Genomic DNA, 25,889 nt, shown 5'->3' with positions numbered 1-25,889 from the left:
GTAATATTATGAGGCAATGTAAAGAGATGAAGTACTGACATATACTACAACATGGATAAACCTTTAAAACCAGTGAAAAATAAGTGAAAGAAATCAGCCACAAGGACCATATATTGTATGATTCCATTTGTATGAAATGCCCAGAATAGGCAAATCTATAGAGATGAAAAATAGAGGGTTGGTTACCTAGGGCTGAGAGCTGGGGCAGTGGAATGGGCAAGGAAGGAGGTATGGATAGGGAGTGCAGGGTTTCTTTTTTGGGTCATGAAATTGATTCTAAAATTGATTATGGTGATGAATGCACAACTCTGTGCATTTATTAAAAAACATGGAAGTGTATACCTTAAGTGGGTGAGTTGTGTGGTATGTGAACTATAACTCAATAAAGCTGTTTAAAAAAATAATAAAGAGGTTTCTCCTTTGATGCCTGTGTTGGAAAGCCCACCTAACCTCCAACATCCTACTAGGGCAGGGTTATGTCTGACTTGGTCACAGCCCTTGCAAGGTGCTAGGCTGCACTCCTAAATGTTGCCTGTTGATAGCATTGTTGGAATCTAATTGTACATCCATGGTCTGGCTCCTGGTTCCAACATATCCGAGTCTTCCTCATTCTAGTACCCTTTGCATATCTGGTAGTCTCTTCAAAATGGGGATGGGCAAGCAGGACTAAAGACTGGGACTTTATTCTGAAGGTAACAGGAAGTCATTCAAGTCGTATGGGGAGTAGATGAGGAGAAGATACCTGGATTATTATGAAGTCTTTTAACTAATCCTTCTCATTATGTTCTTCCCAACTGACCAAGTGTACCTTGTCACAATGCCATTCTCTCATGCAACAACTAATTCCTGCTTTCCTTCCATATTGTACCAACTCCTTATAATAAGGTTGCAACCTGTCAGTTCAACCTGATGTCCCATAATTTCTTGATCTAATCATCTCCTCTTCTTTCTGGCCACTCTCCTTCTTGCCTCCCCTAGAAACCATTTTCACTCCCACCATTGGCCCTTGAATGATACCATCACTCTGGTGCCCTCCTTTCCTTCCTTTGACACCCTCCAAGGTTAATCTATTCTTCAAGGCCTCGGTTTAATCTCATCTGTTCCATGAAACTCTTCCCCAAAAATTATAGCAATTAGGGCAATAAAAGACATATATGAAACAACCCTCAAACTCATGGCATGAGCTTTTTTGCCCCACTGACCAAACAACACATTCTCTGAGAACATGAATAAAGTCCTAAACTTCTCTCGATTACACCTAGTGCCAAAGTGCTAGGCCAGCAGCAGATGTATTTACAGAATGACTGATAAAAGGGAACTCACTTTTATTTCCAGGGATAGATGTACAATCAATTTCTCTCTCATATTCTCTCCCTGCAATGGTTTCTCTTCCCATTCCAAGAAAGCCTGTTCTTTGTGCGTTTCCTTTTCTCTAGGCTATGTGCTGTTACAGTAGAAATCGCTCTCTTGGGAAAATTATTGATGGGCAGCTTCTAATTTTAAGCTGAACTAAGAAACTGAATCACAGCTATATTACCATTTCATTCTGCATGGAGCCCTAATGATAAATATTTAACCAGAACAACTTCCTTTTCCTTTGCTGCTATGTTCCCGTTTAATTATTTTAACAAACAGCTGTTCCAAACATTTACCACTCTTGTAAGACCCCTCACGCTGCTCTTGGTGGATCATATTTTTGCTGCCTCCTTCATTGGGAAAAAGAGAAGCCACTGCCATCCCTTCCCTATTTACTTATACCTATAGCTCTACTCATTGTTCTGGTCTTGAGCACTGATCACCAAATATTTCCTGTGCTTCCCCAATTCCAGGCACTTTCTTGGCCTCCTGAGGTCAGAGGTAGCCATGTGACTGCTCTATGATGACTGCAGAGGCAAATACCGAGATGGAGCTCCCATCAGGCTGGGTCTCTGAGGGGCAGAGATAAAACAGAAACCCTTCCTAATTAATGTTGGCCATACAGTATGAATAGAGAACCTCTGTTGCATTAACAGACTTAGAGTTAGGGCTACTTGTTACTGCAACATAACCTAAATTATCCTGCCCAATGCCTCATTTTATCACTGTCCTTCCCTTCTATTACCCAGGAAAATAGGTCCAATCTCACTTTGAAACTACTCCTCTACCTCTACTCAAATCCCATGTCTACTCATCTCTTTTCTCTGACATCATAGGCATCATCCTTTCCCTCTCTTGCACCTTTAATATCTCCCTTCCTCACAAGAATGAACAAACAAAAAATCCTACTAATACTTACTGAGTGCCTTCTGAGTTCTAGGTGTTTTCTATGTCATAATTTCATTAAATCCTTAAAGAACTCCAAGAGGTAGGTAGTACTAATCTCATTTTATACATAAGGAACTTGAGGCTCACAGAAGAACTTGATCAAGGTCCATATCTATTAAATAGTAGGCCAGAGGTTTGATCTTCCACGAGTGTGATTCCAAACCCCTTACTATCCCAGAGACATACAGGTATCCCTAGCCTATATACATATTCAACTCACTCTCATACACACACCCACTCCACTTTGCTTCTCTTTTCAGCCAGAGTTCTCCATTTCTCATCACCCTAAACACTGAATACACACATTCATTGTCTCCATTTCTTTATTTCATTCTTTTCGAATGATTCTAACCCAGTCTCTACTCTCATCATTCTCCTGAAAAAGTTGTTGCTAAAGGTCAGTGGCCTTCTATAATAGCTAGCAAAGCCAGTGGTCTTCAGAAGATTCATATCTTTCTGTTCTCCCAATGGTATCAGATATTGCTATTTGCACTTTCTGAGAACTCTCTTCTTTTGCAAAACTACTGCTTCCTAGATATCAAATAATACCTCTGACTGCTTCCTTTGATGAATATTCCTCTTCTAGCCATCATTAGTGAACATTCCCAAAACTACGTTCTTCATCAGTGATTTCATAAATCAGTATTATTATTATTATTATTTTTTACAATTTTTTTTTTTTTTGAGACAGAGTCTCGCTCTGTCTCCCAGGCTGGAGTGCTGTGGCACGTTCTCAGCTCACTGCAAGCTCCGCCTCATGGGTTCACGCCATTCTCCTGCCTTAGCCTCCCAAGTAGTTGGGACTACAAGCGCCCATCACCATGCCGGGCTAATTTTTTGTATTTTTAGTAGAGATGGGGTTTCACCGTGTTAACTAGGATGGTCTCGATCTCCTGACCTCGTGATCCACTCACCTTGGCCTTCCAAAGTGCTGGGATCACAGGCATGAGCCACCGTGCCTGGCCTTTTTGTTTTTTGAGACAGACTCTCGCTCTGTTACCCAGGCTGGAGAGCAGTGGCACCATCTTGGCTCACTGCAACCTGCGCCACCTGGTGCAAGTGATTCTCGTGCCTCAGCCCCTGAGTAGACCACACCCGGCTAATTTTTATACTTTTAGTAGAGACGGGGTTTCGCAAATGTTGGTGAGGCTGGTCTAAAACTCCTGGCCTTAAGTGATCTGCCCATCTCAGCCACCCAGAGTGCTGGAATTACAGCTGTGAGCCACCATGCCCAGCCCATAAATCAGTATTTCTAATCCTAACCTTTATCTTCAGGACCCAAACTTTGTTAGCCAAAGTTCTCCACTTGGATGTTCCACAGGTACCTCAAACTCAACATCTCCAAAATGAACTGATTCTTCCTTATTCTCATCTTCAACTCAATCCTCCCCCTGTATTGGACATACTCTCCCATGCAGTCTTTGGGGTTAGGTGTCTCAGAATTACCCTTACCTCCTCTCCTCTTTTGTTTCTCCGTTCTCCACATTTGGTCAGTCACTTAATCTATCCACTATCACCTCTAAAATACCTTTGGAACATTCCTTCTTCTCAAATGTCACTACTGCTGCCCTAGGTGAATATCAACTCTCTTCTTAAAAAGCTCCTGTGATTTCCCCGAGTTTATCAGCATCACCTCACTGATATCCAAATCTGATTTTTAGTCTTCTGCTTAAAAACCTCTGGAGGATTTGGGGCCTAATCTACTTTCCTGTTTTATCTCTCACTATTTCTTTTCAAAAGCCTCTATTCCAGACATATAAGTAGGGCTACCTACTTCCACAAACATACCACAGCCTTCACCTGCTTTGCTCACACTGCCTCCACTTTCTCTCTCTCTGGGGAGCTTTACTCATCCAACGAGACAAGAGTTCAACATTGCTTCCTCTAGGAAGCCTTTCCTAAATGCAGAGCCGCTTTAGCTACGTCCTTCTTTGTGTTCTCTTGTCAATTTTGTTCATGTTTGTATTATATAACTTATAATGTGTTATTTGCTTATGGATCTGTCTCTAAGAGAAGGAGGTTTCAAGTGGTGTTCAATTAGGTCACAGGGAAAAGACTCAGAGGCAAATATAGGAGAACTTCCTCTCTCTCTCTCTTTAATAAATGAAGGACTAACATAAGCTTTGGTTTTAGAGATTTAACATATAAAATACAACTGGAAAACCATTTTACTGAAACATAAGTTTCTTGAAGTCAGATATGTTACTAAACTTGGAAGCCCTACAATATAGCATGATGACTGGCTTATGGTAGGTACCCAAAAGATGTCTCCTAAACCAATCAGTGGCTCTTTGGGCAGTGCTGCTTCCCACCGTCTCTTTCCATTTGAGCTTTTATGGTAAGTAAAGGATGAATGTTAGTAACTCCTTTCCAGGTTGCCCTGGAAGACCAATCTGGTCAGGAACAAATCTGGTCATTAAAACTATGATAGTTGTCATCAAAACAGCACTGCTTTAGAAGAACAAAGTTTTCTTAACAGCTTTGGTTCATTACTAAAGTAGGCATTATCTTAAAATTGATCTTATCTGAAGGTTAAATACACTTAGTTCCTTGTCAGAACACTTAACTCTCCAATATGGTCAATTACCAGACAATAGTGTCTACTTTCTCATGTCTTACTACTTAAATGGTCTGATCAATAGATAAGTACACACTGCATTATTAAGAGCTTGCTGATGTCAGACATGAATGGAAGGAGTCTATGAACTTCTAGCCTTTAAAAAATACCATTTACGTTCTCTGTCAATTGCAGGTGCTTTATATGTGTCATTGGAATATAATATTCTTTAAACTTCTGGTCTACACCACACGTCACATGCAAATGTATGGACAAGTTTCTCCATCTGTTCTGAGCTTGAGCTTTATTTCCCTTAATAAGGGAATGCTTGACCACATGTATTGGTTCCTCATAAAACCACAAAATATTTAAAAATACCAAAATAAACATTATTCTAAATGCTATGACCTAACGGGAAATGAGAATCTTTGTATCCGGGTTGGTGATGGAACTGACCCTCTCTTCTGAAGAGTAAAGAGGGAAATTCAGGGCAGATAGTAAAGATACTAGGGGAGAAAATCTGAACCAATTATTCCTTTACCAAATATCTTTTCTGCAGAGATGATGTCTTAGAGCAGAAAGAATTTTTTTCACAGTTAATTTTTAAAATTCCTACTAATCCTTTTTGTTAATAGGCTTTCCCAGTACCTTTCTCCATTTACATATGATGTCTAAACTGAGCTACTGTACCTGATGAAAAAGGAAGTAGCACGCCAACTTTACCTACAGCAGTATTACTGCTGAGAGATATGTGCCAGCCAGCTAACTGAAAAGTTTTTAGCATTTTAGTATCAAGACTTATCCATAAATAAAAAATATTTTATTTCCTTAAAACTACATTGAACACATTGGTCAGTGTTTACACAACTGGTTCTGCTTCTGTCTCCAATATGTGAATGCCCATGACCAGAGAGAGTTAACTAAATGTTTTCAATCAGAAAGAGTTCTTTATAATGAATGAGTCTGATCCACCTTTCCTAGACAAGGAAATGGAGTAAAAAGAAGTTAATAAATTTATTTAAATTGAAATACTTATTTAAAAGGACTTTTGAGCCCTTTTTAATTTTTATTTATTTATTTATTTATTTATTTATTTATTTATTTATTTATTTATTTTTGAGACAGAGTCTTGCTTTGTCACCAGGCTGGAGTGCAGTGGCGTGATCCTGGCTCACCGCAACCTCTGCCTCCCAGGTTCAAGCAATTCTCCTGCCTCAGCTTCCCAAGTAGCTGGGACTACAGGCACGTGCCACCATGCCCAGCTAATTTTTTTTGTATTTTTAGTAGAGACTGGGTTTCACCATGTTGGCCAGGATGTTCTCTTATCTCCTGACCTCGTGATCTGCCCATCTTGGCCTCCCAAAGTGCTGGGATTACAGGCGTGAGCCACTGCGCCCGGCCTAATTTTTTTTTTTTAAGCTTCTATTTACTGACTGCCTACTAGGTGCTAGACAGTTGAAAGACTAAATGCATTTTTTTCCAATCTAGACAACTAGAATGCTTTTTTAGTAAGCCAGTCTCCCTTCCTTCCATATCAACGTGATAATTGTCAACATGATATTTGAAGGCATATGATCACCATCAACTTGGCCATGCCCTTCCACAAACCCTGCTGAAATAAAAACAGAACAGATTAATCACTAAAATAGATCCCATTCCTATGATGTGTAAGGTGCTCTGCTAGCTGTGTACACAAATAACACAAGGCATGGTCTCTGGCTCTGAGTAGTTTGCAATCTACTAAAAGAAACAGGATTCTAATAATAAAACATAGCATAAAAGCTAGCTAGCTAATTAACAAATGAGATAAATAGGCTAGAGGAGGACTGTAAGAGTCCATAGAAGGAGGAGTTCAAAGAAGCTGGGAGACTTAGGTTTTTAGGAAAAAATGTTATTTGAGCTGAATTGTTTTGTTTTTAGTTTGCTTTGATTTTTTAAATTACAGAATTCAAAGAAGCATAAAAGAATAGAGTATGGAGTACATGGGTAGCAATATATGTAGAACATAGGGGTGAAAAACTTGAAAAGTATAATTAATTATATAAATACCCGTTGAGTTATGGGATAAAAATAAACAGCAAACCAGAATATTTGGGTATTTCATCTGCATAAATATCTTAATTTAAATAAATAATTCTTTCTAAGAAATTAATACTTATTTTAGAGCAATTAAAAATAAGACTATCAATAGCTTCAGATTTTTTTTTTTTTTTTTTTCTTTTTTTTATATTATACTCTAAGTTTTAGGGTACATGTGCACATTGTGCAGGTTAGTTACATATGTATACATGTGCCATGCTGGTGCGCTGCACCCACCAATGTGTCATCTAGCATTAGGTATATCAATAGCTTCAGATTTTCCATAATTTTTGATATAGCAATTCTATTTCCAAGAATATGTCTAAGGAAATCCAATAGTCATCTAATAAACACTCAGATGAGAAACCAGATAAATCCTAAATGTCCAACCATTAGAGACTGGTGATCTACATGATTTTGAATCCACAGAATGGATCCAAACAGATGTAGAACAACAGTTAATACAATGAAAAGATACACTGTACTTACAAATATCAGGAGGAATAAATGCATCTCATTAGATTACCATCTGTGTATTAACAAAAATATTATACACACACAGAGAGGGAAAGACTGAGAGAATATTTATCACAAAGACTTCTGTTCCTTTAATTCTAAGTGGGGTTGATGTCATTCCAGAGTTATTGAGATAATTTATCTTTCTTTAACACCCGTCTCTTACTGCAGAGTACCTGCCTCTCTCCCGCTTACTGTGGACACCTCCATGTTCACCACTGTAGCTTACGTATCTCCAGGTGTTCATGCCTTGCACAACTCCTGAAAAATGTCCTTAAGTATCTGTTGAAAAAATGTTTAAAGCAATAAAACAAGGAACTATATGAAGCATTTGGAATGTTAGAATGTACAATGTTGATATTTCTCTTCCTTTAAAAAGAACTTTCTGATTAAAAAATAAAATCAAAGAGGAGAGAGAAAGGGAGGGAGGAAGGAAGAGAGGACGGGAGGAAGGAGAGAGGGAGGGAGGGACGGGGGAGAGAAAGAGGAACTACTATCCTGTCACATATAAATACTCCAACTTCTTAAAATGAATTTCTCCTGCTTGAAATATCAACGAACATACTTATTTTATAAGACTGCAAGGAATGTTTCACTTTCCCGGGGAAGAAACATTTGAAAACCAGATCCCACTACAGTATTTCAGGATTTGAATGTCTTCTCTGCTGCAGAATCTCAATGTATTGTGTGGTTCAATCTCTGTTCAGCCTTCCCTGACAGGGAAGAACAGTCTGGAAAGGGAGTGAAGTGAGAAACAAAGTGGAGAAAGGAAGGGAAGAGGAGAGAGACAAGGGAGGGAAGACAGGTATTTAATACTTGGGAACTAACTAGGTTCACTCCCCATGCCGGTCTGGTTCTTCTTTTATTTGAACTATTTCACCAGCCCTAATTGTCATCCATGTAAACACCCAATCTGATGTTAAAAGGAACCATTCCTGCTGATGGAAGTAGTAAGTGACAGTGCTCTATCAATGAAGTCCCGAGTTCTGCATAAATCAGCATTTGTCATCTTTTCAATTCTAAGAAATTTTTGTGGTATTTCCAGGAAAGGCCCTGTTGGGTTTACATAATAATCACTTTGTAGACTCTAACTTCTCTCTTTGAACTGTCAAAGGGTTAAGTCTACCCTAAACTAGAATCCTTTAAGTTTGTGTATGAGTGTGTGAGAGCATGGGTATGTATATGAATATATGCCTATATACATATACATATACATAAAACTTATCTTCTTGAAGTTCTCTGATTTCAGCAAGTTTTATTCTATTTAGTAGCTTGCAGAGTTGAACAAGTCACAGGCAGAACCCAGCCACCTAGCCATATGAAAAATCAGTTCAACCAGAGAGCATGTATTACTTACTCCCTGAATTGGCTCAATTCAACATCTTTCTCCCTTTCTGTTCATCCTACCCTTGTTTCTTTGGTGGATGACTGTCCTCCTTGGACTGTATAATTTAGCACTTTTGGGGTGCTGCTAGAGAATTCAAATGGTGGCAGATTCTTCTAGGAAGCGTAAAGGCATCTTAGGAACCTAGTCATTATTTAGACGGGAGCATCAAAAGTTAAGCAGCCCAGCAATGCTCTGGAAAACAGTCACGAACATAAGCACATGCCCGGAGATCACAACAAGTGCTTAAAGAAAAGGAGGCTGAGGCGTAATGACAAATGAACACTGAGCCAAACAAAAGACACGAGCAAAATACTTTGCTCTATCGTCATTATCTGACTTGATTTTCCAAGAATCGATTTTTTTTTTTTCAGACGGAGTCTCGCTCTGTTACCCAGGCTGGAGTGCAGTGGCGCGATCTCGGCTCACTGCAAGCTCCGCCTCCCGTGTTCACGCCATTCTCCTGCCTCAGCCTCCCGAGTAGCTGGGACTACGGGCGTCCGCCACCACGCCCAGCTAATTTTTTGTATTTTTAGTAGAGACAGGGTTTCACTGTGGTTTTGATCTCCTGACCTCATGATCCGCCCACCTCGGCCTCCCAAAGTGCTGGGATTACACGCGTGAGCCACCGCGCCTGGCCAAGAATCGATTTTTATATGGGAGGCTGGGTGTAGCTGAGGACCCTTTTAAACAAATCTGCTACACACTCACTTTTTAACCCAGGTGGAGATGAGAAAGAATACCAGGAGGACTCTGGCTAATGCTGGTAGGGCTTATAGAGAGAGGACTTTTGTGTGTGGAATCATTTTGGAGAGCAAATTCACGGCATGTCCTAAGAATGAGGCTTAAACTCCAGAAAAGAGCAGCTTAGAGGCCTCTGGGTAGAATGTGACAATGAGTCCTTCATGAACACAGCTCACGGTCAGCCTTCAGGGAGATGCAGCACTCCACATGGCAGCTCACTGGTCCTGGCTCTGTTCCCTGTTTTATCTCACTAGCAAGGGTGCCAGGGAAGAGAAATCAGTGGTGTAAGGAAAAGAGAGCAGAAAGTCATTTATAAGATTTAAGATTATGTAAAATTAGTCCCGCTGCCCAACTTTGAGTCAGGTGAGTGAGAAGGCCACCATGAGCCGGGGTCATACACCTGTCACAGGTATTATTGTTGTCTTCTAGTGTGTCTGAAAATGTGCTCTCCTAATACTCTCCTCTCTTGAGATAATGAAAAAAGCTGACTAACAAGGACCCATTTAAAGATACTTGCTTAGGCCGAGCTTAGTGGCTCATGCCTCAAGTCCCAGCACTTTGGGAGACGACAGATCACTTGAGGCCAGGAGTTTGAGACCAGCCTGGACAACACTAGGGGTTTCTATATCCCAAGTGAGGCTCCCATCCCTAGAAAAAAAGTTTAAAACTTAGCTGGGCATGGTGGATGTACCTAGTCCCAGCTACTCAGGAGGCTGAAGTGAGAGGATTGCCTGAGCCCAGGAGGTTGAGGCTCCAGTGAGCTATGATCGCACCACTGCACTCCAGCCTGGGTGACAGAGTGAGACTGTTTTTCTTTAAAAAAAAGATACTTGCTTATTTTTTCCTTTCAAAGCCAATATTAGCATTCTTTGAAAGTAAAGCGTCTCATTTACACAATAAACAATATTAGCCATTGTCTGTCAGATAAAGATGACAGAATAATTAACCTACATCTTTTTAAAGGAAGATCAAAATCATAAAAACCCGTGCTTCTGCTACACAAAAATAAGTGGCAACTGACAAAGACCTTCAAATACTTTAAGGACTATCACTGCCACATCAAAGTCAGAATTCTCATTGTTAAAATTTGGGTAGCAGCACAATAGAAAACACATACTACATTGGCTTCTGGATAGAGTTTGTGTCCTCTTAACCTAATTTTAGAAGCTGCTGTGTTTTGGATGTGGTTTGTCTCCACCAAAACTCACGTGGAAATTTAATCCCCAGTGTGGCAGTGTTGGGAGGTGGGGTGTAGTGGGAGGCTTTTGGGTCCTGGAAGCAGATCCCTCAAGAATAGATGAACACTCTCCTTGGAAGTGAGTAAGTTCTCACTCTCCAGGGAATGGATTAGATCCCTCAAGAGCCGGCTGAGATAAAGCAAGGGCGCCCCTTGGGTTTCTTCACCCGTGTCCACTTCCCCTTTGACCTTCTCTGCCATGTTTTGACCAGCATGTGGCCCTCACCAGAAGCCAAGCAGATGCCAGTGCCACGCCCCTTGAACTTCCTAGCCTGCAGAACCTTGTACTAAATAACCTCTTTTATTTATAAATTACCCAGTGTCAGGTATTCTGTTATGGCAACATGAAATGGACTAAGACAGAAGCCTATGAACCATATTCAAATTTGAAGGGAGAGTAAATTACAGCAACCCTTTGGACATTAGGAATACTAACAACAACAACGCAATTATCGTCATTCTTTAAAGAGGTTTAACAAAGGTGTATTTAAAAATGTTAGCAAGGTTCGAAGTGCTTTACTTTGTTCAAACTATGTCAATATAATGCTTTGTTTCTTCTCTGGACTCTTGAAATTGAAAACATTCCTAATTTGGTCCTTCAGCTGCAATTTTCCCTTGCATAGTTCTTTCACTGTATAGTAGAGCATTCCTTGTGTCTGGTTAGCAGTATGCTATACTTTAAATGCTAATGGAAAAAACAGACTTCTTACACAAAATGCATCACATCTTTTGCACAAGACCCCAGCTGACTTTCCAGTATTGAATCTAAAGACTAAGCCTTCACACCTTGTGTCCGCAGACACTGATGAGTTAACTAGCTCATCCATTTAGCTTTTCTGAAGGAGAGCTGGATCCATTTTATTTCATTTTATTTTTGCAGGACATGAAGTGTGAGGTTATGAAGACTGAAATGAAAAGGCAGAGGCAATACAGGTTAGATCCAGCCCCTGCCTTGAGACCATGCATAAGGGGATCCTTCTTGGCCCCTCCAGCTGTGTCCCTCCACATGGGGCAAGAATCCATGAAGTCGTGGGGATGGGCCCACCTAGCTGACACATTCCCCCTTAGGACCATGTGGTGCACACCAAGGAGACAGGACTCCTCTTCCCAGATGGCCTAAGCTGCTTCTAGGGCCTGCATAGGCAGGTTCCTACCCTGGAAGCCATCCTCCCAAGGGCAGGCCATGCTGTTGGTACACACACCTATAGGCTTGAGGGTGGTCAACAGGCAGCTGTTTACTGGGCTGGTGAGGGCAAAAAGTATGGGTGGAGCTTGGATGTATGGAGTGAGTGAGGTGAGGAGCAAAGCTCCTCATGGTGCTGGAAAGAGAAGTGAAGAGAAGTAAGCTGGGCCTCCATGTGTATGCTTGCCTTGCAAATGTTAGGCGTGGGCCTGGAAAAAGGAAACTCAGAGATGGAAGTAGTTTTAATGGTGCTTCATTTAATAAAGAATGGCATACTGTTTAAAATCCTTTCCCTCCATTTGGGTCTGTCCATCTAGATCAACAAGAGAAAAGTTACCAGGGTGAGGGCTGATAAGAAAATACTATTGGCATAACTGGTGATTTACAAATAAACTCAGAAGAGTCAACTACAGGACAGAAAGAAATCAACAGATGTAACGTTGTCCAAAATCGTGTCCCCAACACATACCCACCCATCTGCTCATCCATAGCCCCACGTCATCCGGAGTGGACTGTAGACTGTGACCACTAAGGTTATAGACATTCTAGGTCTCGCCAACCTCCATGCTCTCAATGGTCTAAAGGATTTGCACCTCCCAAGCCAGTTTCTGGCTACATGTTCTGGTTCCAATATACACCTTTTAAATTGGCTTCCACTTGCTAGTAGCTTTTGCTTAAGAAAATTTAATGACGATGCATAACACACACCCTTCATATAACACACAAAACCTCAGAATTGGCTTTCTTCCCTATTTTAACACATTTATTGTAGGTATTAAATTACAGTAATTCCCAAGTTCAACCCCTAAGAAACAAAGCTACCTACGTCAAGCTTACTTCATAATGATTTTCTAAAGTATCAAGTCTAGACATTCCCTTCCACACTTAAAAAGGCCGTGCGTTTACAGGTAAAACACATAGGTCTTCACTGAGGCTTTTGGAAGGGAGGGGTCAAGAGTGTGTACCTCTTTCAAGGGAAGAGGAATGCAGTTGCCAAGAGAGTTGCCAGACAGATGGGAGACATGTTGTTCTGGCACAATTAGACCTCAGGAGTTCAACTATGAGACATAAGAACAATGACAAAGTAGTAATGGATGGGAAGATGGGACCCAGAAAACGTACAAAGATGGACATCATTATAGGTTTTAAATGGCTCTCTTGGGTCAGAACACAAGCCATACTTTCAACAAATAAGGGAGGTGGTTGCCAGTGAAACTGGGCCATATCTGAGTAGAAAGCAAACTTGAGCACCTTGGGAAGGCAGAGGAGCTGGGCACCTGGGGATGAGAATGCTAGGCTCTGGGCCACAAAGCCTGGCAGTGTGAAGCATTCTTCCCCTGCGCGGTTTGTTCCTGCCTACTTCATTACCACCAAAATGTTCCTTACCCAAGTGCCTGCCAAATCTGCCTCCAGTTACAAATGTTGGCCAACGCTTCCCACTTAGAGCCCAACTACCTGGGATCCCCTCTGTTCTACCCAGTGAACTAATTCTGTTACCAAACTATCCCACACACAATGTGTCTCCTTCATTTTTTAATGTGCTCCAGGAAACATTGGGAGCAATTTTCTGGAATTTATACAACATTCCTCAAGGGGTCATTTTGAAGCAACAGGAAAACCTTCGTGAAATTCTACTAAGGAACTGGGACTGGTCCAATTTTCCTACACAAATTTTTACTAGATGGAAATCCAGAAGTTTTGGCCACTTCTATCCATCATAAAAACGCCCTTTGTTTAAACAAAGTCTCCACTGATGCATTTTCCAGCACATAAGGTAATTTTCAGTGTGGTACAAAACTCACTAGGGTCCTTTAAAACCAGGGGTGGGGAGGTGGGGGGAGGAGAAGAAAAAAAGTACCTACACAGCAGAAGCCTTTATGATCTATAACTGAGTACACACTGCATTTGCAATAATACCACATTTAACCGCCTGGGTTGTAATACAGTAAGTAACCCCCTCACAACACTGACCAGCCCACAAACAGAACCAAGAAACCTGGCAAGGAATTCTATCTGCAATAACAAACCCAACTGGCAATAAAAGCCATCTGTACAAGTGCCAATTATCCTTCTCCTCAAATGATTAGGTTCCATCTAGTTTTGCTGACAAGCAAGTTATGCCACATTTTAATAGGCAATAAAATGTATTATTAAATAATTAGTAGCTAAGAAACAGAAGAAATTAGAGGCTACTTCCCTTCACACACATCCCCTAGTACTTCAGTCTATTGATATAAAGCAACTTGATCCTCCAAAGAGACAGACTGAAACTTGATACAGCAGTTTACTGTGAGACAATTATGAGGCTAATGAGTGTTCACAGAGACTGAAGCAGGAAAGAAATCTAGAAAATTCCACCTAACCCTAGTTATGTCTGATCTGTAGCAGGGTCCCAGAGGAGCCAAAATTTCTTCAAACTGCTCCTTGTTCTGAGCACATTAATTAAACTGTTAAAGGTAAAGGAGTATTGATGTCTTTCCCATCTCCTCACTTCTCCCCGCAGGTAGTGTCTGGTACTTGTTCAGCCCTAAAGGTACAGTTGCACTAACTGAAAAAAGCCCCACTAAGACCAATTAAGGTCTTTACTAAGAGGCTGAAAAGAAGACAAATGAAGGCAGAAAGCCCGATTACAAGGAACCTTTGTACAGATGTAAAGCAATTACAGTGGTCCCAGGGGTAAGGCAGCATGGTTCCAGAAGCACATGATTTTACAGCCTGTCTAAACTTGGAACAATCTATCTTTTTTTAGGTTGAGAATAAAAGTGAACCCTATATTAGTGTCATATATCAGCTGCAGTGCCTGTGATTGGTTCCCCCATGTCTGCTAGAGCCATAAAGCTTCTCAAAGATCCCCGGTGGAGGGCAACACCATTATACACTCTGCTCTCACTGGCAGGGAAAAAAGACCTGCCTCGTGTCAGAAGTGCTTAACAGAGGGGCCGCCTCAGCTGCACAGACACCCCAGAGATGGGCGTCCAGGAGAGAGAGGGAGGTGGACCAGGAAAGTGGTGGACAAGGATTGGAAAGGAAGGCAAAGGAGGACTTCAGGAACTGGAACTGAGAGGCACTCTCTGGAAGACATTTGAGGGGGTCGCCGTAAGGAGAACAAAAAGTCCTCCCCGATAATCCTCTGGAGACACTTTAACAGCAGCCACATTTCTGTCATTAGCCCTGCTTTTGATCTCGTTAATGCCTGGCATGTCAGTGTTTCATCTTTCCATACTTGAGAAGAGCCAACAGATGGGCTCTTGGTAGAGACTCAGATGTAAAAATTTGTACTTTCTGTCGGATTTCTGGAAGTGAAACAACCAGAAAGGGGAGGAAGGGTCAGAAATTTGTGCCTATTCCTCAATAGTTTAGGATCGGAAACTCGTTAAGACAAGAAAAACTCCAGAAATCTCTCTCCGTATATATACACACACACACACACACACCCATACATACACACACACGCACACATATATACACACACACCCATACATACACACACACACATACATACACACACACCCATACACACACACATACATACACACACACCCATACACACACACACCCATACATACACACACACACACACACAGCAGCCCTTTCTAATAGAAATATAAGGCAAGCAGTACAGGAAATTTAAAATTTTCTAGTAGCCACATTAAAGAAGTGAAAAAGAAACAAAAAGTTAATTTTAATAACATATTTCCTGTAACTCAATGCATCCAAAATATTATCACTTCAACATGTAATTGGTATGAACACATTCTTAACGAGACATTTTACGCTATTTTATTGACTAAAGCTTAGGAACAGGGCGTAGGTTTTACACTTATGGCCCATCTCATTTGGACTCACCCCATTTCAAGTGCTCAGTAGCCACGTGTGAGTCACAGTCACTGCCTGGGACAGTGCAGCTCTGCAGTGACTGCTGGCTGGGGATCCTGGCCCATGACTTACCAGCCATGTGATGCTGCATTAATTACTCAAGTCTTTAGTCTTCAAATTGCTCATCTTTAAGTTGGGAATAATAATAAGACTTTACCTCACAGGATTGTTGAGAGGATTAAGATAATCCATGCGAAAAGCTAATGACAAAGCCTGGCACAGAGTATGCACTTAGTAGCTGTTAGTTGGAACTTGTACTATTATTTTTATAAACCAATCTCAAGTAAAGAAAGAGTTGTGATCTCCTACCAAGACATGTTTTACGAAAGCTATTAGGAAATATTCTATTTGAAGTTCCTCATTACTCTCTGTACTTATTGGAGTTGCCAAATGAATTTTAACAGTGATTTGAGATTCAAGCAAAATGGGCCTTGAAGACTTGGCCCTGTCAGTAATTGTTTCCATTAGATGATGTACCAGGACTTTGTATCTGATCTCCACAAGGAAAGCCAGACAGGGACAGGAATGTACTGAGTGAGAAACTTAAATCTGCTAGAAAGATCCATGTTGCCAGACATCAGCAAATGCTATCACACTTTACGCGATTAGCAAGAACAGTGGCTTTAGGTAAAGAGCTGATAATTGCACAGATCATTTTGATTTTTGATAACTAATAACTCACACCAAGGAACGGCATTAAAAACCGGTGGCATTTAACATTCAACAGAGAAATAATTAACTTTTAAAGTTAGCCAGTAAAAGAAAATGCCAAGGCAGGATGGTGAGGCAGAGCTGACAACAAGAGAGGATACAATGGGACATTAATTAGGTACAAGCAAACATCTTCCCTAACAGCTCATGTTCTCATTCCCAAAATGTCAACAATAGATATTAACACCAGATGCTGGCATTACATCTCCCCTGACAGTGAGTCTGGGCCATGTGTGTGTGCTCAGAGAAAAGACTCAAGTGATTGAGAGGAAAAATCCGATGGGATAAAGGCTGTGTTTCCTTCTCTTAAATAATTTACAGACCCTTTATGAACAGTGGGTAATGGGGGCTTTCAGGGGACTTAACTAAAACATGGGGAAGGAGAAAGATCGGATCAAGTTAGACACTGTCCACATGTAGGATACTTGGCATATGTCCTGCTTGCCTGGAGGTTCCCTGGGTCAGCCACCCTCCTGCAGGAGACTAGAAAGGTCTCCTGTGTGATATTTGTAAGCAATCTTCTCTTGAGTAAAATGCAGTGAAACCACCATGCCTGTGGTTAAGGGACACAACCATAGTATTTAGAAAATTTTAGAAAAAAGAATCTCTGATCATCTAAAAAATTGTTTTATTAATTTCAAATTTTTCATGCTTTGAGTCAGTGAAAAAAGAGATATAACAAATATAAGGAATTTGACATATTGCTTTGCTGAGTCCTATGCAAGCTAAGCTTAAGATACAAATGGGGATATAAATGGACAATTTATGTTCTGAACTCTGTTGGCTATGGTGGAACCGCCTCTGTTTCCAGAGCAACTGGTCAAAACCTCTCCAAATATTGAGCAGTTTTGAAAACTGGATTAGGAACCACTAATGAAAAAGAACAGACTCAGGGACAAGTGTTTGGCGGGAATGTGTGAAGAGGTAACTAATGAGTGTCACTGAATTCCACTATTAAACAGATGAAACAAAGCCTTTCCAACCTCAGAGCCTCTGCAGATGCTGTTTTCTTTGCCAACAAGGAGCTTCCCCAGCAGTCTTCTCATTCTTAGCTATGTCATTCTTGTTGGTTAAATCTTCGCTTAGAATGTCACTTCTTCGATGAGGAATTTCCCATGCCTACCTACCTAAAGTAGGTCCTACCCCACCCAACCTCCATTATTCTCTACCTCAGCCTCTTCGCTTTTTTTAAACGAAGCATTTCATTTAAAATGTTTTTTAAACAAGCATTTATCACACCTGTGCTTATCTCATTTGTTTCTTTGCTGTACCTTAAGTTCTGAGAGGGCACAGAAGATAACGTCTGTTCTGTTTACCTCGTAGTAGGCACTCAACATGTGTTTGATGAACACTGATGAGATCTCTGCTGCCTTCTGTTGCTGCTGACTCCCTCCTTGGGGACAAGGAACACCAATAAAGATCCCAGTGGATGATGAATAATCTAGATCCACAGGCATCTAGATAACCCCTCCTGACGCTCCCTTTCAACATTCATTAAAATGGGCACAAATGAATGAGACAGACTTTCTACCCTCAGGGAGTTTACAGTCTAGGAAAAAAAGGATTGCAGCCGAAGATTAAAAAGTCACTGTACTGAGAGAGGCAAGTTAGGCCATGTGATCAATGCAGGACTCTGGCTGACACTGTAAGAGCAAGGATTTTCAGAGACAGCAAACAAAAACTGACAACTGAAACAAACCACTCCAAAGAGTTGGCAGAACAGTGCAGGGGTTAAGAGCATGCGTTCTGGCTGGCTTCATGACTTACTAATTGTGACATTTTGAGCGAGTTCCTTAAACTCCTTGTGCCTCAGTTTTTTAGTATGTGTGATGGGATTAACAGTAGTATCTATGTCAGAGATTGTTATGAAGATTAAATATTTGTAAAGTGCTTAGACTCATAGAAATGGTAAGCCCTCAATAATTGTTAGCTATTAAAAATAATGGTCAAGGCTGGGCCTGGTAGCTCATGCCTGTAATCCCAGCATTTTGGGAGGCCGAAACAGGTGGATCACCTGAGGTCAGGAGTTCGAGACCAGCCTGGCTAACATGGTGAAACCACTGTCTCTACTAAAAATACAAAAATTAGTTGGGTGTGCTAGCAGGCACCTGTAATCCCAGCTACGTGGGAGGCTGAGGCACAAGAATCACCTGAACCTGGGAGGCGGAGTTTGCAGTAAGCCGAGATCACACCACTGCACGCCAGCCTGGGCAACAGAGCAAGACTTCGTATCAAAAAAGAAAAAAAAGAAAAAAGAAAAAGAAAAAGTCAACACTTATGTGGTAAGGTTGTGGAGAAAAAGGTACTTGTATACTGTTAGGAGGAATGTAAGTTGGTATAGCTATTGTGAAAACCAGTATGAAGACCCCACCAAAATTTAAAAATAGAATACCATACAACACAGCAATCCCTCCAAAGAAAATGAAATTAACATCTTGAAGAGATACCTGCACCCCCATGTTCACTGCAGCACTATTCACAATAACCAAGATAGGAAATCAACCAAGTGTCCATCAATGGATGAATAGATAAAGAAAATGTGATAATGTGCTGTAGTGTGTGTGTACACATATACATCTCCTTAAAAAAGAAGGAAATCGGCTGGGCGCGGTGCCTCACGCCTATAATCCAGACACTTTGGGAGGCTGAGGCGGGTGGATCGCCAGAGGTCAGGAGTTCGAGACCAGCCTGGCCTACATGGTGAAACCCCATCTCTACTAAAAAAAATACAAAAATTAGCCAGGCGTATTGGCGCACGCCTGTAATCCCAGCTATTCGGGAGGCTGAGGAAGGAGAATCGCTTGAGCCTGGAAGGCGGAGGTTGCAGTGAGCCGAGATTGTGCCATTGCACTCCAGCCTGGGTGACAGAGCGAGACTCCATCTAAAAAAAAAAAAAAAAAGAAGAAGACAAAATCCTGTCATTTGCAACAACATGGAGAACACGATGATAAGTGAAATAAGCCAGACACAGAAAAAAAAAGTACTGCATGATCTCACTCATATATGGCATCTAAAAAACAACAGTCAAAGACATAGAAACAAAAAACACAATGGCGGTTACCAGGGGTAGGGAGGAGGAGGAAATGGGCAGATATAGGTCAAAGAGCAGAAACTTGCAGTTAAGTCTAGAGATCTAATGTAGGGCAGGAGGACTCTAGTTAATAATATTGTAGACTGAAAATTTGCCAGGAGAGTAAATTTTAGGTGGTCTTGCCACATAAAAAGGGTAAATATGGAAGGTGACAGATATGTTAAATTGCTTCCCTGTTGATATGGTTTGGCTGTGTCCCCACCCAAATCTCATCTTGAATTGTAGCTCCCATGTGTCATGGGAGGGACCAGGTGGGAGGTAACTGAATCATGAGGGTGGGTTTTTCCTGTGCTGCTCTCGTGATAGTGAATAAGTCTCAGGAGAGCTGATGGTTTTATAAACTCTGCACATGGTCCCTTGCCTGCCACCATGTAAGACGTACTTTTGCACCTCCTTCGCACCTTGTGCCATGATTGTGAGGCCTCCCCAGCCATGTGCAACTGAGTCCATTAAACCTCTTTTTCTTTATAAATTACCCAGTCTCAGGTATTTGTTTATTAGCAGCATGAGAAGGAAATAATACACCCAGAGTAATCATTTTGGTATATATATGAAATATCAAATTATCGCTATTTCACTAATTGTATGTATATCAAAACATTATGTTGTACATCTTAAATTCATACCATAAAAAAAAATAGGTCTCTTCAAGGACCATGAAACTTGTTTACTAGTTAACTCCATCCACTCTTCATCTACTTAGCCCATGAATTCCAGCATTTGGCCACAGCCTGCTCACACTTTTAAATCTCCTATTGTCCTCTTGCTGTGGCATGTAGTACTGGCCATGAGCTTAACTGTCAAGCTTGCCTCAAATGCACTTCCAAACACAAACCCTAATCCAGCCTCTCCTGTTGTTTAACCTTTTGTAGTGGCCAACAGAGGACATGCAGGGTGTTCCAACACTGTCCCAGTTCTTGATACTATTTCATATTTGGTTTCCCTTCCAGAAAAGATTAACTTATAGAGGCACAGTGTGACACTTGGACTGGAACCTGGGTATTGACGTCCAGCTGATTAAGAACAGAAATGAGATTTTTGTGTTTAAGTAATCTTTGCTATTATGTTTCTTTCAGAAATCAACTCTTTCTTAAATTCAGAGCCCCTAAAGCAATATAAAATGACTTCGGTTTGTCCACCCATCTCAAAGTATCTATTATGTTCAAGAGAAGATACCAGGCACCATGTGAAGAAAAAAAAAAAAGCCTGGAAAACCAGATCTCAGTCTTCAAAGGATGATTATGTTACAGTGTAACAAAGCTCAGAAGTAGCTTGCCAAAGAAGGCGCTAACCTCTGATTTTCTAAGGATCAATTACATTCTGGTTTTGAGCACAGAGATTTTAAGCATTGGAGTGCCAATGACTTAAGCCACAAAAAAAGTCCTTCAAGTACCACTGGTAAATAATCATTCTCTTTGTGATGGTTTTTGAATTTCACTTTAATCAAATCCAGTAAGATGTTCCAAATATCATTTATCCTTTAACAATCAACTCTCAATCTCTAAATCCTGGTTTTACTTTAATCACTTATAAAAATTCTATTATTCTAGTGCTGATTATGGTCTGTCTTGCTGTGCACCAAGCAGCAGAATCACTAAGCCCACAGGCTGCTCTAAGTCGCACGTCACCCCTCTTGAATTAGACCCAGGAAGAGGAGTGTCTGTGAGCAGAGGTCTCTGAGCCAGACTGCCTGTAAGTCTGGGATGTGCTTTGGCAAGTTACTTAGCTTCTTCAAGACTCAGTTTGTTCATTTGTAAAATGGGTCATGATAGTAGTAGTAGTGTCTACTTCATATGGGGTTTGGAGCAATTAGATGAGATGAGTATAAAAGCATTAGAATAGTTCCTGACCTTAGTAACTCAGTCATTTTTGTTATTTAAAAAAGTTCTTAAGACTAATATTGTTCTTTATTTTCTTCATTTCTTTGGCCCTCCATGACAACTATAGAGCACATATTTAGACCTTAGAAAAGCGTTCACCATGCTCTGTGATGAAATCTCATTAGTTCACTGCCACTTAGCTGGAATTCTTTTTTTGTTTTTTGTTTTTTTGAGACGGAGTCTCGCTCTGTCGCCCAGGCTGGAGTGCAGTGGCATGATCTCGGCTCACTGCAAGCAACGCCTCCCGGGGTTCACGCCATTCTCCTGCCTCAGCCTCCCTAGCAGCTGGGACTACAGGCGCCCGCCACCTCGCCTGGCTAATTTTTTTTTTTGTATTTTTTAGTAGAGACGGGGTTTCACCGTGTTAGCCAGGATGGTCTCGATCTCCTGACCTTGTGATCCACCCGCCTCGGCCTCCCAAAGTGCTGGGATTACAGGCGTGAGCCACCGTGCCCAGCCAGCTGGAATTCTTGAGTAGCCACTGCCTGCTGAGCACTGAATTGTGAGAAACTGGTGATGGGGGTGGCTCAATAGAAACAACACCTTATAATTTATCTCAAGGAGATTTAAAGGTAGTTAGACACATATCAGATCCTCTTTTCAGGGGTTTCTTTTATTTTTTCTTAATTGACAATAATAATTTTAATCTGTGGTCTCATTTACATGGGGAAACAATTGGACAAATCTGAATGTATAATCGTGTTTTGCCAATGGCTAGCTGGTACTATAAAGTTATTTTTAATTTTTGGGGCCTCAGTTTCCTTATATTAAAACATGGAGTAGCTCCTGCTTACAGCCTGTTGTGGTGGGGATGCAATGAGGCAGAACAGAAGTTTCTTTACTCTGACTTTGCAGCACAGGCTATAAGGTAAAGAAGAGTGAGTGAATCTGAAATCCTCCAAGGCTTTCATTTCCCTTCCCTCTGACCCTTAAACCACTCTTAAACCACTCTCTGCTCTGCTGGCTCATGTCATTATTCATGTTTCATATTTAGTGCCTACTCAAGCCTATAACTGGTGACAATTTGTGGATAAGACTCTAGAACTTCTACCCAAAGGAGCAGGAGGATGACATAAGCCAGCAGAGCAGAGAGTGGTTTAAGGATACAGTCCTCTAGGCCAGGGAGTCATCTCCTGGAGCCGTAGACTACAAGTCTCCCAGAGGGTAGAAGGAGATGTGTCCCTGCATCCCCTCCCTGACACAGAAGTGTGGGTGCTGAGGGGACTGTGCAAAGCCCTGCAGAAGACATCCAATTTGTATTTTTCTGACAAGCTAACCCCTACTCTGGGTGGATTTTAGGAAGCCAGCTGCACACCGCTGGCAAAGATGAGGTGGAGTCCCCAGGACAGATCTCTGTTGCAGGGCATCTAAGAGGGGGAAGTGTAGGTAGGTGGCTGGGGTTCTCTTCTGCTTCCTGGTTTCCTGTCTGTATTATTTTATCCGCTCTCATTCCAGGTGAGCAGAGAATAGAAAAGCCAGAGGAGAAAGAAAAAACATCCTGAAACACTGGGAATATTCACCCATACATGCCCACCTTCATTAAATAGCATCTACTGTATGCTTGGCACTGTACTCACAAAGATGAGTGAGGCACAAGAGCAGTCCTCAAGGAAATTATAGTCTAATGGAAGAAACAGACACACACAGGAAACAATGTATGGACTGTGATAGAGACCTGCTTAGGTATTATGGGAGGACTTAGTGAAGGCACATACTCAAACCTAGAATTGAGCAGAAGGAGGTGGGGAGGTATCATGGAAGTTAAGCTGTCATTAAGCAGTAATACAAGAAGTAAGTTTCAGGTAAGTAAGAAGTGATTGCAGGGGATAGAGGAAAGCATCCAGGAAGAAGAGACAGTGTAAACGGAGGCACACCGCAATATCCTGTGAGAAGTTACCAGTACTCTGTGTGGCTGGAAGGAGAAGACACAGGCTGCTCAAACAGTCATGCACAGAGCCAGATAAAGGGACAGGAAGGAAAACAAGCACTGAGATGGCACGGACTCTTGGCTGAACAGAAAGGAGACTGCTTCATGTAGTTCACGTGGCCAGAAGGGAGGCATGTGGTCTTCTTGGGCTACTGTCTGTTCCAAGTCACAAAGCCACTTATCTCTACCTATTCATGTTGTTTCACGTGAGGGGAATGGCTTGGACACAAGAGACCTAGGAAGCTTCATTTGGGGACCATGGAGCCTGGCGCAGAGTTGGGTGCCTGGTGAGTGCTCTAGTTCTTCATCCTAACAAAGTTCGGTGATTATAAAAATAAGATGATGTGGTAGGTGAAGGGTTTGTCATGAGGATGTTGTCAACCCATAGGAATCAGATTTCTAGACTGTGTCTATGGTACTAAAATAATGCAGACTTTCCCGGGGGTAGCTCAGGAAGACAGAGAGACATGTGTTTGCTTGCCTGGGGAGGTGAGCTGACCTGATTAAGAGAAATTTACACTGAAGGTGGAGGGGAAGAGAGTAACATCTCTAACCTCCTCCGCAAATGAGAAACTAGCCACAATGGAGGTAAGAGGTATGGGATGTGGAACCCAGTGGCCTATACTTGAAAGCCTTTAAGAGGGTGTCAGATCAGACTGGCCTCAGATCGCAGCACTGAAAGCTTCTCTCATGGCCAATCCCTGTGTGAGGCCCTCATCTCTTTAGATGTCTATGTATCATCAGTTATAAAATAAGCAGAGATTTTTAGAGACATGATAAAAATAATCTCCTGAGTATCACCCAGGCTCATGGGATAGGATTTAAGGTGGGAAAGGTATTGTGGAAAAGCAGTGTCATATGTCAAAAAACACGTAGATTTCCATTGCTCACCACTGTAGCTCTACCACCTGACATAGTACCAGACACATAATAATGCTTAATAAATAGTTTTTGGAAAAGCAGATCAATTTGCATGGAGATCCATGAGCATGAGAGATGAAGCACACTGGCACGTACCTGGATAAGAAGAAAAGTGATATCCTTTTGAGAATATACCAGATGACAGCCAGGTGAAAAAAAAAATGATAGACTTCTGACATAGATTATAAAACCACAGATTCAGGACACTGGGACCTCAACTATCTGGATATTTGCTGATGGTGTCATTTAGTTAATGGCAGAGCATCTGACCAACAGGTTATCATCAGGCTTGAAGTAAATTTCAAGTCCAAAAAAACAGGAGATATAATTAGGTCTACTCCATTCTGGATCAAACGATGGCTTCTTAGACAAAACTGAATGCTTGAAGAAAGTCATGAGAGTCTTGGCGAGTAATACAAGTCTCATGATGCATACTAAGGGGGGATCTAGAGACCTCAAAATATGGAGCTAAGCTTACTGAAAGGCAGATTTTATAGTTCAAAGGCTAAAACATAGTCTACTTTTCATAGTGACAAGTTTTGGAAAGGACAATGGCTCAAGGGAATCAAGGAGCTTCAAAATTGTGAAACTGCCCCTATAAGAAGGGAGAAAGGGCATGGTGGTGAGAAGCTACATAAATCAGGAGCTAGGCAGGAAGTTTCTCTGGGTAAGCTGATTTTAAGAGGCCACATATAAAAGTTGGAAAGTGGTACCACCATCAAAGAAATTAACACTAAAGAGAAGAATGCTGAAGGAATGAAAGTTAACTTATAAGTATCACTGAGGTTTCACCAGCGTTGAACAAAGAGGCAGTAAGCACTCTGTCATAGGAAGTTATGGCTCGAGGGCCACTTTGCGGGAAAAACTGTATGGGAGACTTTCTGGAGGGAAGTTGGATTAGATAACCATCCAGTAGTCACCCAATCTTGAGATTTTGTGATTCTAAGCCCAATAAATGCCGGCTAAGTCTAAGTTATGCTACAATAGCCTTCTGCAGAATACCACACACTCCCTACAAAATTCTTTCAGACTGTAGGTAATGGGGAATAGGCAAGATCAGAAGACGTCAGCATACAGTGAGAAGCTTATTATACAGAGGGCTTTGTTTCCAAACTTCTCTGAGTCAAAGGCACATTGGACCCTGCTTTGCAAACAGCCACCTGTCTACTTATCTGAGACAAGTAATAGCATATGCTGGAAGAGTACAACAGGCGGCCAGAGGAGCCAAGATGTCTTTTCTTGCATGTTTTCCTAATTAACTATATTCTTGGATGCCTTTGAAGAAAAGAGTCCCTCCTGAAAACATCCCAGAGTTTGGAGTAAGGAAGGAGTTGCAAGCAGTATTGGTAATTCTAAACTTGTCAAATGGAAAAGCTTCACTCCAAAAAAAATGGTTTTGCAGGATGGGGTGGGGGAGACATACTGCTAGCCAAATGTCATCTTTGCTTATTCTTGATAAACTTGCTAAAATGTCTCCTA

General features: G+C 41.4%; 1 protein-coding gene across 25 annotated transcripts in view, besides 1 other annotated feature; it reads right to left on the bottom strand.

Annotated features, from left to right (window-relative positions):
• The window catches only part of AUTS2 (activator of transcription and developmental regulator AUTS2), a 1,195,032-nt gene that overhangs the window by 422,963 nt on the left and 746,180 nt on the right, over positions 1-25,889 (bottom strand). The window lies entirely within an intron of this gene.
• Positions 21,304-21,803: an enhancer, noted in NCBI's record as "H3K4me1 hESC enhancer chr7:69813727-69814226 (GRCh37/hg19 assembly coordinates)". NCBI's record gives its function as "activates a minimal SCP1, AML or CMV promoter by ChIP-STARR-seq in naive and primed H9 embryonic stem cells {active_cell/tissue: H9 hESC(naive and primed)}" and the evidence as "EXISTENCE:reporter gene assay evidence [ECO:0000049][PMID:30033119]".

Source organism: Homo sapiens, chromosome 7 (assembly GCF_000001405.40).
Source record: "Homo sapiens chromosome 7, GRCh38.p14 Primary Assembly".
NCBI lineage: Eukaryota > Metazoa > Chordata > Mammalia > Primates > Hominidae > Homo > Homo sapiens.
This window is presented reverse-complemented; position numbering and strand designations above follow the sequence as displayed.